At 42.5% G+C, this 13,447-nt stretch overlaps 1 protein-coding gene and 1 long non-coding RNA gene across 21 annotated transcripts in view; one reads left to right on the top strand and one right to left on the bottom strand.

Annotated features, from left to right (window-relative positions):
- ZNF83 (zinc finger protein 83) overlaps positions 1–5,434 on the top strand; it is a 78,120-nt gene extending 72,686 nt beyond the window's left edge. For 12 of the 17 annotated variants that reach the window (NM_001277948.2, NM_001277946.2, NM_001277949.2 and 9 more), the window contains one exon: positions 3,014–5,434. In NM_001277948.2, coding sequence (NP_001264877.1) covers positions 3,247–4,797 — 1,551 coding nt within the window. In that variant the 5' untranslated portion in view covers positions 3,014–3,246 and the 3' untranslated portion in view covers positions 4,798–5,434. Of the gene's footprint in view, positions 1–475; positions 566–969; positions 1,094–3,013 lie in introns of all 17 variants that reach the window. The other 5 variants (NM_001348015.2, NM_001105551.2, NM_001105549.2 and 2 more) reach the window with 4 other exon arrangements.
- LOC137778871 (uncharacterized) overlaps positions 1–13,447 on the bottom strand; it is a 34,279-nt gene that overhangs the window by 17,769 nt on the left and 3,063 nt on the right. The window lies entirely within an intron of this gene.

The raw sequence follows: 13,447 nt of genomic DNA, 5'->3' as shown, positions 1-13,447 counted from the left end.
AAGGCAAAGAGCCCTGGACTGTGTAGCATGAAGTGAAAATAAGATGGGTGGGAATTTTTTTTTTTTTTTTTTTTTTTTTTTTGAGACAATCTCACTCTGTTGCCCAGGCTGGAGTGCAGTGACACGATCTCGGTTCACTGTAACCTCCACCTCTGGGGTTCAAGCAATTCTCCTGCCTCAGCCTCCCAAGTAGCTGGGACTGCAGTCACATGCCACCATGCCCAGCTAATTTTTGTATTTTTAGTAGAGACAGGGTTTCACCATGTTGGCCAGGCTGTGTTTGAACTCCTGACTTCAGGTGATCCACCTGCCTGGGCCTCCCAAAGTGTTGGGATTACAGGCATGAGCCACTGCTCCCGGCCTACTGTCACTTCTTAACATATTAATCTTTGTATTTCTGACCACCTCAATATCCACAGTACTCAGTCCCCATGCTACTCTCACCATGTAAGGAAAGACACTTGCTTATCTGTAGGACGGCTTTCTCAGAACACAGCCTAAACCGATGTCTGCTCTGTACGATGGTGGACATACCGCTGTCTAGGAAGGATTACCAAGTGACATGGTCAGCAACACAACCCCGTTCTTGTAGCTCCCTTGAAATGATTCCTTTCTATGCATCTATTTGCCATGTCGTGTCGTGTTGTGCAGGTTTGTCGTGTGGGTATATGTGTGCCGTGGTGGTTTGCTGCACCCATCAACCCATCATCTAGGTTTTAAGCCCTGCATGCATTAGGTATCTTTCCCAATGTTCTCCCTCCCCTTGCCCCCTACCCCCTGATAGGCCCTGCTCTATGTTGCTTCCCTCCCTGTGACCATGTGTTCTAATCGTTCAACTCCCACTTATGAGTGAGAACATGCGGTGTTTGGTTTTCTGTTCCTGTGTTAGTTTGCTGAGAACGATGGCTTCCAGCTCCATCCATGTCCCTACAAAGGACATGATCTCATTCTTTTTTTTCTTTTTCCGAGATGGAGTTTTTGCTCTTGTTGCCCAGGCTGGAGTGCAGTGGCACAATCTCGGCTCACCACCACCTCCGCCTCCCGGGTTCAAGCGATTCTCCCGCCTCAGCCTCAGAAGTTGCTGGAATTACAGGTATGCGCCACCATGCCCGGCTAATTTTGTATTTTTAGTAGAGACGGGGTTTCACCATGTTGATCAGGCTGGTCTCCAACTCCCGACCTCAGGTGATCCGCCCACCTCAGCCTCCCAAAGTGCTGGGATTACAGGTGTGAGCCACTGTGTCCTGCCAACCTCGTTCTTTTTTATGGCTGCATAGTATTCCATGCAGTATATGTGCCACATTTTCTTTATCCAGTATATCCTTGATGGGCATTTGGGTTGGTTCTAAGTCTTTGCTATTGTAAATATTGCTGCAAGAAACATACATGTGCATGTGCCTTTATAGTAAAATGATTTATAATCCTTTGGGTATATACCCAGTAATGGGATTGCTGGGTCAATACTGCATCCACTTTTAAGAAATGTCTGGATCTGCAGCCCAAGATCAAATCCCATTGACCTCACTTACTTGCAGTGTAAATTGGTGGACCTACTCTATTTGAAAAGCAATAATTTACTCCAAGTTTCTTTTGGCAAGTTGGTGTTGGTAGACGGCTAGGAATATTGAAGTTTTTGTAAAGATGGAAAAGTTACTTTATTTAAGAAAAGATTTGGCTGGGCGCAGTGGCTCACACCTGAAATCCCAGCACTTTGGGAGCCCAAGGTGGGTGGATCACCTAAGGTCAGGAGTTCGAGACCAGCCTGGCCAACTTGGTGAAGCCCCGTCTCTATTAAAATACAAAAGTTAGCTGGGCATGGTGGCAGTCGCCTGTAATCCCAGCTACTCAGGAGGCTGAGGCAGGAGAATCGCTTGAACTCGTGTGGCGGAGGTTGCAGCGAGCCGAGGTCGTGCCATTGCACTCCAGCCTGGGGCACAAGAGTGAGACTTCGTCTCAAAAAGAAAAAAAAGATTTATCAGTCTCTGTCATGTTCATTAGATGGACCTTTTCATCCATCTAACTTTTCATGTCTTAACCACATCAGCCTGCCATAAGAAATACTGTAGACTGAGATGCTTACATCCTAAACTTCAGGAAATAATTTCTCATAAACCTGTAAGCAGTGAAGTCCAAGATCAAAATGCATAAAAACACTTCCTGGGTGGTGCCTTCTTTCTATTTTACCCCAGTCTGCTTTTTTTTTGAGATGGAGTTTTGCTAATTTTTGTATTTTTAGTAGAGACAGGGTTTAATCATGTTGGTCAGGCTGGTCTGGAACTCCTGACCTCAGATGATTCACTCACCGTGGCCTCCCCAGTTGCTGAGATTAAAGGCATGAGCCACCGCACCTGGCCCCAACCTGCTTCTTGCTGTGTCTATCATATGTCAGAGTGAGAGGAAGCAAGTACTCTAGTGGTTTTTCTTATACAGGCACTAATCCTGTTCATGAGAGCTTCCTCCCTTCCTCCTCATGGCCTAATTGTTGCCCAATGTCCCCACTTGCAATAACATAATATTGGGGAATAGGATCTTTTGGTCAGTGCAAACATTTAGGCCATGGGTGCCTTCGTTGTGTTGTATACCTTTTTATTTTTCAGTTTGCTCCAAAGAATGTTTTCTCTGACCTTAGTCAATAAATTTCTTAAGTACAAAATTCTTTCAACTATTAGACAGCCATATGTTTTCCTTCTATTGCAGTATGCTCAGGCTTCATGTTGGAAAAAATCTCAATTTTGGGGAGCTAACCTAAATTTTTGCAATGTAAGTGGTTTGGCCATAGGTTTCTTTATACTAGGCTTTTCTGCAATTAGTTTGAATTATGTGCAGTCACCCTTTCTCTATTAGAAAATATCTGTTCCTTTTGTTTTCCAAAAAGTTAAAAATCATGAATGGGAGTTTTATAACTTTCTTTAACATAAGTATTACTCTTAGTGTACTATTACACATTTCAATAGGAGATATTTATTGACTATCTGTAATTAATTGGAAACTGTGGGATCCTTATATCTTGTAGGTATTTTTTCTAAATGTGAGATCAAGGAATTACCACCAAAAAAGGAGAGTAATACAGGAGAAATATTCCAGACAGTAATGTTGGAAAGACATGAAAGCCACGACATACAAGATTTTTGCTTCAGAGAAACCCAGAAAAATGTACATGACTCTCAGTGTCTGTGGAAACATGATTGAAGACATTATAAGCGAGTGCGTGTGACCTATAAGGAAAGTCTCATTGGTAGAAGAGACATGCATGGGAGAAAGGATGATGCACAAAAGCAGCCTGTTAAAAATCAGCTTGGATTAAACCCGCAGTCACATCTACCAGAACTGCAGCTATTTCAAGCTGAAGGGAAAATATATAAATATGATCACATGGAAAAATCTGTCAACAGTAGTTCCTTAGTTTCCCCACCCCAACGTATTTCTTCTACTGTCAAAACCCACATTTCTCATACATATGAATGTAATTTTGTGGATTCATTATTCACACAAAAAGAGAAAGCAAATATTGGGACAGAACACTACAAATGTAGTGAGCGTGGCAAGGCCTTTCATCAAGGCTTACATTTTACTATACATCAAATAATCCATACTAAAGAGACGCAATTTAAATGTGATATATGTGGCAAGATCTTCAATAAAAAATCAAACCTTGCAAGTCATCAAAGAATTCATACTGGAGAGAAGCCATATAAATGTAATGAATGTGGCAAGGTCTTCCATAATATGTCACACCTTGCACAGCATCGCAGGATTCATACTGGAGAGAAACCATATAAATGTAATGAATGTGGCAAGGTCTTTAATCAAATTTCACACCTTGCACAACATCAAAGAATTCATACCGGAGAGAAACCTTATAAATGTAATGAATGTGGAAAGGTCTTCCATCAAATTTCACACCTTGCACAACATCGGACAATTCATACTGGAGAAAAACCTTACGAATGTAACAAATGTGGCAAGGTGTTCAGTCGCAATTCCTACCTTGTACAACATCTGATCATTCATACTGGAGAGAAACCTTACAGATGTAATGTATGTGGAAAGGTCTTCCATCATATTTCACACCTTGCACAACATCAGAGAATCCACACTGGAGAGAAACCTTACAAATGTAATGAGTGTGGCAAGGTCTTCAGTCACAAGTCATCCCTAGTAAATCACTGGAGAATTCATACTGGAGAGAAACCTTACAAATGTAATGAGTGTGGCAAGGTCTTCAGTCACAAGTCATCCCTAGTAAATCACTGGAGAATCCACACTGGAGAGAAACCTTACAAATGTAATGAATGTGGCAAGGTCTTCAGTCGCAATTCATACCTTGCCCAACATCTGATAATTCATGCCGGTGAGAAACCTTATAAGTGTGATGAATGTGACAAAGCATTCAGTCAAAATTCACATCTTGTACAACATCACAGAATCCATACTGGAGAGAAACCTTACAAATGTGATGAATGTGGCAAAGTCTTCAGTCAAAATTCATACCTTGCATATCATTGGAGAATTCATACTGGAGAAAAAGCTTATAAATGTAATGAATGTGGGAAGGTCTTCGGTCTAAACTCATCCCTAGCACATCATCGGAAAATTCACACTGGAGAGAAACCTTTCAAATGTAATGAATGTGGCAAAGCTTTTAGTATGCGTTCAAGCCTCACTAATCATCATGCGATCCACACTGGAGAGAAACATTTCAAATGTAATGAATGTGGCAAACTCTTCCGCGACAATTCATATCTTGTACGTCATCAGAGATTTCATGCCGGAAAGAAATCTAACACATGTAATTAATGTGGCAGAGTGTTCAGTTAGCATTAAAGCCTTGTAAGACATACAATAATTTATACTGGAGAAAAACTTTGCAAGTATAATGAATGTAGCAGAGCCTTTAGTTTTTGTTCAAGGCTTAATAACCGTTAGCTAGACCATAGAGGACAGAAACTTTACTAATGTACTGAATGTGGCAAGGTCTTAAGGTAAAATCTGAGACCAGGATTCTTCAAAGAATTCTTGCTGGTGAGAAACCTAACAAATGTAATGAATGTGGCAAGGTCTTCTGGCACAATTCTCACATTGTACAATATTGCAAAAATTCATGCTTGAGAGAAACAAAAACACTGAGAGTGGGAAACCATTATGACTTCAAACATTCATCAACATCAGAGAATCCATACTAAAGAGCATTTATAATAATTATATGTGATAGAGATTTTCCGCAGGCCAAAGTCTCACTAGGCATCAAAAACTTTTTTGATGAAACCATACAAATGTAACGTGCATGCTTAAGCTTTTACCCAGGCATCAAAACCGGAACATCACAGGGTTTATACTGGAGAGTAACTACACAAAGATAATGTAATAAGCCTTTCAGTGTAATATTCATGATTTTGTCGTGAGAGATCCACTCAATAAAAACCAGGCAAATGTAGTGAATCTGGAAAGGTTACTAATCTAAGATGCATCCTCAGGGTTCATTAAAAATTCATAGTGGAGGGCCGGACCCAGTGACTCATGCCTGTAATCCCAGAACTTTGGGAGACCGAGGCAGGTGGATCATGAAGTCAAGAGATTGAGACCATCCTAGCCAACCAACATGGTGAAATCCCGTCTCTACTAAAAATTCAAAAATTAGCTGGGGGTGGTGGCACACGCCTGTAGTCCACACTGCTTGGGAGACCGAGGCAGGAGAGTCACTTGAACCCGGCAGGCAGAGGTTGCAGTGAGCCGAGATCACACCACTGCACTCCAGCCTGGTCGACAGAGCGAGATTCTGTCTCAAAAAAAAAAAAAAAAATCATAGTGGAGCCCGGGCATGGTGGCTCACGCCTGTAATCCCAGCACATTGGGAGGCTGAGGCAGGCAGACCATGAGGTCAGGAGTTTGAGACTGGCCTGGCCAACATGATGAAACCCCCTCTCTACTAAAAATACAAAAATTACCCAGGTGTGGTAGTGCGTGCCTGTAATCCCAGCTACTTGGGAGGCTGAGGCAGGAGAATCACTTGAACCTGGGAGGCGGAGGTTGCAGTGAGCCAAGGTCCTGCCACTGCACTTCAGCCTGGGCAACAGAGTGAGACTCCATCTCAAAAAATAAAAATAAAAATTATAGTGGAACAATCCATTACAAATGTAATGATATGGTAAATTATTCACAAACTATAATCCATCTGAGAGCTCACAGGAAGTCTAATTCTCTTTTTTTGGTTATTGTTTTTGAGATGGAGTCTCACTCTGTTGCCCAGACTGGGGTGCAGTGGCGAGATCTCGGCTCACTGCAAGCTCTACCTCCCGGGTTCATGCCATTCTCCTGCCTCAGCCTCCCGAGTAGCTGCGATTACAGGTGCCCGCCACCATGTCCGGCTAATTTTATGTATTTTTAGTAGAGACGGGGTTTCACCGTGTTAGCCAGGATGGTCTTGATCTCCTGACCTCGTGATCCGCCCGCCTCAGCCTCCCAGAGTGCTGGGATTACTGGCGTGAGCCACCGTGCCCAGCCAATAGGAAGTCTAATTCTCTACCATAAATCTTTTATATTACATTCTGCAGAATAATTACAATTCAAAATATGTTAAAAGTCATGACATATATATCAAAGACTCAAGGACATTTGGAAATGGCCAGTTACTTTCAGGTCATGAAATAATGTATTATATTATTGAAGGAGAAAGACTTCTTTACCAATGTTGACTTTCAAGCTGACATTTGAAATGTTTTTATGATGTCTTTCTTAGTCATTTCATGATCTATAGGCAGGAATAGGAAACAATGGCCTACTTCATTAGGTGAAATCATTTCTCTCCATGTTCCTGTGAAACAGGGACACTATCTTTTGAAATTAATTACTGGCTGAATATTGGCTAATCCCAGCACTTTGGGAGGCGGAGATGGGTGGATCACTTGAGGTCAGGAGTTCGAGACCAGCCTGGCCAGCATGGTGAAACCCCATCTTTACTAAAAATATAAAAATTGGCCAGATATTGTGGCTGGCACCTGTAATCCCAGCTACTCGGGAGACTGAGGCAGGAGAATTGCTTGAATCTGGGAGGCAGAGCTTGCAGTGAGCTGAGATCATGCCACTGCACTCCAGCCTGGGTGACAGGCGAGACTCCATCTCAAAAAAAAAAAAAAAAAAAGAAAGAAAAACACAAAGAAAAGGAAACAGAACCAGACGGAGATTGTTGCCTATGTATGTGCTTCTGTGATGCTCCTCAAAAACCAGAATGGGCCAGGCATGGTGGCTCACGCCTGTAATTCCAACACTTTGGGAGGCTGAGGCAGGTATATTACCTTAGATCAGGAGTTCGAGACCAGCTTGGGCAACAAAGTGAAACCGCATCTCTACTATAACAATACAAAAATGCGCCGGGCATGGTGATGCATGCTTGTAATCCCAGCTACAAGAGAGGCTGAGGCAGGAGAATCACTTGAACCCGTGAGGCAGAGGTTGCAGTGAGCCTAGATTGTGCCACTTCACTCCAGCCTGGACAAGAGTGAGACTCTGTCTCAAAAAAAAAAAAAAAGGAAAAAAAATGGCTGAATTAAGATTTGTAGGGGGCTGAGAATAATGTAAAGCTGTGATATCAGTCAGATTATTGCATACAGGGCATTCTTCACAGAGAGGGCCAGTGTGGATTATAGGAAAGAAATGCTCTACTAACCAATCATGAAATAGAGCAGTCCAAGACCTTAAGAGGCTGCAGTTTTTATTGGAGGAGATTAATACGTTAATAGGAAGTGATTACATATACAGTAGAGGTAATGCAGGGGACATGTTAGCCACATCTCCATTGAATGGCAGTAGCTGTCATTTAGCAAGATTGAGGAAAAATTTCTCTTAATCTTGAACTTGAAAAGAGCAGTTACCACAGAGAAGAGGGATTTTTAGCTTTTTTTTTTCTATTTGTAGAGACGGGGTTTCACTATGTGTCCCAGGCTGGTTTTGAACTCCTGAGCTCAAGTGATCCTTCTGCTTGGCCTCCCAAAAGTGCTGGGATTACAGGTGTGAGCCACTGTGCCTGGTCCAAAAAGGAGAGTTTATTTTAAAAAAAAAAACCCACAATAGCATGTCCTTGATTAGGAATCCTTTTAAACTGTCAGCATTACATTCTCTATTGTTTGTTTTTTGAGACAGTGTCTCACTCTGTCACCCAGGCTGGAGTGCAATGGAGCGATCATGGCTCACTGCAACCTCCGCTTCCTGGGTTCAACCAGTTCTCCTGCTTCAGCCTCCCTAGTATATGGGACTACAGGTGTACCACCACTATGCCCAGCTAATTTTTGTATTTTTTGGTAGAGATGGGGTTTTACTGTGATGGCTAGGCTACAGTTTCTATTGTTTTATTTAGAATGTATCACAGATGTCATGTGTTAACAACATTTAATTTTTTTATAACTGAGTTAATTATGTTCCATCTACCTGCATAGCTTTATCTCACCTCTATAGGATCCTTCATGTCTAAACACAAACAATGTGCCATCAGGTTGCTAAGGCTGAAGGAGCTACAATTTTTTTTTTTCTTAGAAGGAGTCTCGCTTTGTTGCCCAGGCTGGAGTGCAGTGGCAGGATCTCAGCTCACTGCAAGCTCTGGCTCACTGCAAGCTCCGCCTCCCGGGTTCACACCATTCTCCTGCCTCAGCCTCCCAAGTAGCTGGGACTACAGGTGCCCGCCACACCATGCCCGGCTAATTTTTTTGTATTTTTATAGAGACGGGGTTTCACTGTGTTAGCCAGGTTGGTCTCGATCTCCTGAGCTCGTGATCCGCCTGCCTCAGCCTCCCAAAGTGCTGGGATTACAGGCATGAGCCACCACGCCCAGCCTACAATTTTTTTTATGATGGAATTAAACATCATACAATTTGAGAACATACAATCACACCTTCCACTTCAGTTATCCTCTCTGCAGTCGGCCTTAGGATACTTATATGAACATGATGAAAATCCCATAGCAGTGCAGTTTCACACTCTGACAAACCTGCATCCCTATTGATAAGTGGGACTTGTATTCTTCTAAATGCCTTTCTCTTACGCCCCAAATGAACACATGGCATGCATTTTACTTTACATAGAGCAAAAATACATACAGAGTAAGGATATAAAAAGTACTGTGAAATAAAAGTAAATATGGGGAATACGAATAAAAATAACACAAAATTTAGCTGGGCGTGGTTGTGCACCATTGTAGTCTCAGCTACTTGGGAGGCTGAGGCAGGAGAATCGCTTGAACCCAGGAGGCGGAGGTTGCAGTGAGCAGAGATCGCACTGCTGCACTCTAGCCTGGGTGACACAGCGAGAATCTGTCTCAGCAAAAAAAAAATATATATATATAATCTATATTATATATAGATTATATATATTACATATATAATATATATTTTATGTATTATATATTTTATATATAATATATATTACATATATATTTTATGTATTATATATTTTATATATAATATATATTACATATATATTTTATATAATATATATTATATATATTTTTTATATATAATATATATTTATATATATTATATATTTTTTATATATTATATATATTTATATATATATATATCTCTCTCCAGTTGCATCCATGTTGTTGGAAATGACAGGATGCCATACTTTTTGACGGCTGAACATTACTTCATTGTCTATAAGTATACACACAATATACTGATTTCTTTTATTTCTTGTATTTAGCCTAGTGCTGGGTATATATACCCAGCACTGGGCTTGCTGGATGATATGGTAGCTCAATGTTTAGTTTTTTAAATAGCTTATTTGCCTTATCTCTTTGCTTTCCCCCTGTTCCCACTAGCCAGACTCCTTTTCCCTAATTAGGACTCCACAGTAAATCCAAATATATTCTGAAGGCTATCTATGTTACAGGTTTTCTTACCACACCTGACAGAAAGAAAAACAAAGAAAAGGTATAAAATAACTTACAGGGCCGGGTGCGGTGGCTCAAGCCTATAATCCTAGCATTTTGGGAGGCCAAGGCACGCAGATCACCAGGTCAGGAGTTAAAGACTAGACTGGCCAATATGGTGAAATCCCATCTCTACTAAAAAGACAAAAAAAACTTAGCTGGGAGTAATGGCTTATGGCTGTAATCCCAGCTACTCGGGAGGCAGAGGCAGGAGAATTGCTGGAACCCAGGAGAAGGAGGATGCAGTGAGGCAAGATCGTGCTACTGCACTGCAGCCTGGGTGACAGACTGAGACTCCGTCTCAAAAAATAATAATAAAAATAATAAAAAATAAAATACCTTATAATTGGCCAGGTGTGGTGGCTCATGCCTGTAATCCCAGCACGTTGGGAGGCCGAGGCAGGCAGATCACTTGAGGACAGGAGTTCAAGACCAGCCTGGCCAACATAGCGAAATGCCGTTTCTACTAAAAATACAAAAATTAGCCGGGCATGGTGGCCCACACCTGTAATCCCAGCTACTCAGGAGGTTGAAGCAGGAAAATTGCTTGAACCTGGGAGGCGGGAGTTGCAGTGAGTCGAGATCGCACCACTGCACTCCAGCCTGGGTGACACAGTGAGATTGTCTCAAATAACAACAAACAAACAAACAAAACACCTTATAATTTGCAAATAAAAAGTATCTTTTCTAGTTACTTGCAGAATGCACGTAAAGTGAATTTAAAATTCTGCCGTGATAAAAGTTCATCTTATCAATTGGGTCACTCTTGCCACATCCAACTTATACAGGAGGTAAAAATAAACTATTTAGGCAGACAGTAAGGGCAAAAACTCCTCTGCAGAGCTTCCCTTCTAACAAAAAGCTGCCCAAAATATCGTTTTGTTCTAACAAAGAGCAGCCCGAAAAATCGATCTGCAAACATACGTAAGCAAGCTGGAAGCTTGCATGGGGGAAGTCAGCAGCTGTGCCAATAGAAAAGGGGCTACCTTGGGGCTAGGCATGTCCACCATGGAAGCTCCGTCTTTCCTTTTTTGTTAGCACGTGTACAGTAAGAAAGAAATGGGTAACATGGCACAGCTCAGGCAAAGAACCTGCATAATAAAAGATTGGGGAGGGGGCTGCCAGAAATTCATGCCGTATGCAAATGTTACATCTGGTCCTATGTAGATAAGACACTACCTCCCCACCAGCTCATCTATAAAACCCCTACGTTTTGCCACGAATCTGCAAACCATTTTTCCAGGACCTCTCTCTGTAGCAGAGAGCTATTGACTTTCTTTCGCCTATTGAACTTCCACTCTTAACGCCACTCTTGGGTGTCCGTGTCCTCGATTTCCGTGGCCATGAGACAACGAACATCAGGTATTACCCCAGAAAATGAGGCTGCCTCACAACTAAACCAAAGTCAAGAGGACAGATGAAAAATGAACTCAGGATACAAACATTGCTTCAAGAACGTGATTCTCTGAAGTATGGCTGCTGAAACTTCCTGTTGTAACCAGAAACCCCTGAAACCAGCTTTTTTTTTTTTTTTTTTTTTTTTTTTTTTTTTTTTTGGACAGTCTTCTCTGTCACCAGGCTAGAGTGAAGTGGCACAATCTCGGCTCACTGCAACCCATGACTCCCTGGATCAAGCGATTCTCCAGCCTCAGCCTCTGAGGTAGCGGGGATTACAGGCACATGCCAAGATGCCCACTAATTTTTGTATTTGTAGTAGAGACAAGGTTTCACCATGTTGGCCAGGATGATCTTGAACTCCTGACCTTGTGATCCAACCGCCTTGGCCTCCCAAGGTGCTGGGATTACAGGCATGAGCCAACGTGCCAGCCAAGATTTTTCTTTTAGCTGCTAAAATAAATTACCTGGGACTTTAAAAATAGTTTGTGAACGAAGTATCTGAGACAAATCTCAATCAGTTTAGAAAGTTTATCTTGCCAAGGTTAACTGCATGCCCACGACACAGGCTCAAGAGGTCCTAATGTCATGTGCCCAATATGGTCTAGGTAGAGCTTACATTTTAGGGAGTCATGACGTATCAGTAAGTGTCAGATGTACGTTGGTTAAGTCGGGAAAGGTGGAACAACCCAAAGCGGGGTGGGGGGTGGATTCCAGGACATAGGTAAATAAGAGACAAATGGTTGTTTTCTTTGAGTCTCTGATTAGCCTTTTGTACTTTGAGTAATTTTGTTCTCACATATTTTATTTTATTTTGAGATGAGGTCTTGCTCTTTTGCCAGATACTCAGGAGGCTGAGGCAGGAGAATCATCTCAACCCAGGAAACAGAGTTTGTGGTGAGCCAAGATCACACCATTGCACTCCAAGATGTGGTTGGGGAGAAATCCACAAATTTTGGTGATCAGAACTGAGGCATTCTGTGCTCAGTGGCATGAGAGAGTAGGAAAAACACTTTTTTTTTTTTTGTATTTCTTTTTTTTGGCGGGGGGTGGAGTCTTTCTTTGTTGCCCAGGCTAAAGTGCAGTGTCGGAATCTCAGCTCACTGCAGAGTCCACCTCCCGGGTTCGAGAGATTCTTCTGCCTCAGTCTCCCGAGTAGCTGGGATTACAGGCACCCACCACCACACCCGGCTACTTTTGGTATTTTTAGTAGAGACGGAGTTTCACCATGTTGGCCAGGCTGGTCTCAAACTCCCGACCTGAAGTGATCCGCCCTCCTCAGCCTCTCAAAATGATGGGATTACAGGCATGAGCCACCGCGCATGGCCTTTTTTTCCTACTTCAAATAGGCAAGCCAACTATTTGAACAAGCAGAGAGGGCTCTGTGCAGTATCCCGGGCCCCGGTTGCAAAGGAGGAGCAGCCCAGGTTTTCCGATCTCTTGATTAGGTGTTCCAAGTACAGGAAATGGGATGGAACCTGGTAGGTCAAGGGGTAGGTGTATGGAGGCCTCAGATCTTATCTATAGGGACAGAGAATGGAGCGTCAGAAGGAGTCAAGTACAGAATGAGAGACCACAGGGGAAGGAGACCCCTTTGACACAGCCCTCCCTGTTCCAGAGTCAAGAAACCAATGAGGTCACAGAAGCCAGATGACACGGTGTTGCCCATCAGGATAAAGATTCTGCCTTTGTCTCTGAGCTGCAGCATCACTAGAGGACAAAAAAATCAAACTACTACACATCTAAAGAGCAGAGGGGCCTGGCGTGGTGACTCACACTTGTAATTTCAGCACTTTGGGAGGCCGAGGCAGGAAAAACACCTGAGGTCAGGAGTTCGAGACCAGCCTGGCCAACATGGCACAACCCCGTCTCTACCAAAAATGCAGAAATTAGCCTAGTATGGTGGTGATGCATGCCTGTAGTTCCAGCTACTTGGGAGGCTGAGGCAGGAGAATCACTTGAACCCAGGTGGTGGAGGTCGTAGTGAGCTATTGTGCCACTGCACTCCAGTCTATGCAACAGAGTGAGACGCTGTCTCAAAATAAATAAATAAATAAATAAAATAAAATAAAATAAATAACAGAGACATAAGAGGGGGCAAAGAAAGATGTCCACTCAGAGATCTCAGGATTT

Source organism: Homo sapiens, chromosome 19 (genome assembly GCF_000001405.40).
Source record: "Homo sapiens chromosome 19, GRCh38.p14 Primary Assembly".
Lineage (NCBI taxonomy): Eukaryota > Metazoa > Chordata > Mammalia > Primates > Hominidae > Homo > Homo sapiens.
This window is presented reverse-complemented; position numbering and strand designations above follow the sequence as displayed.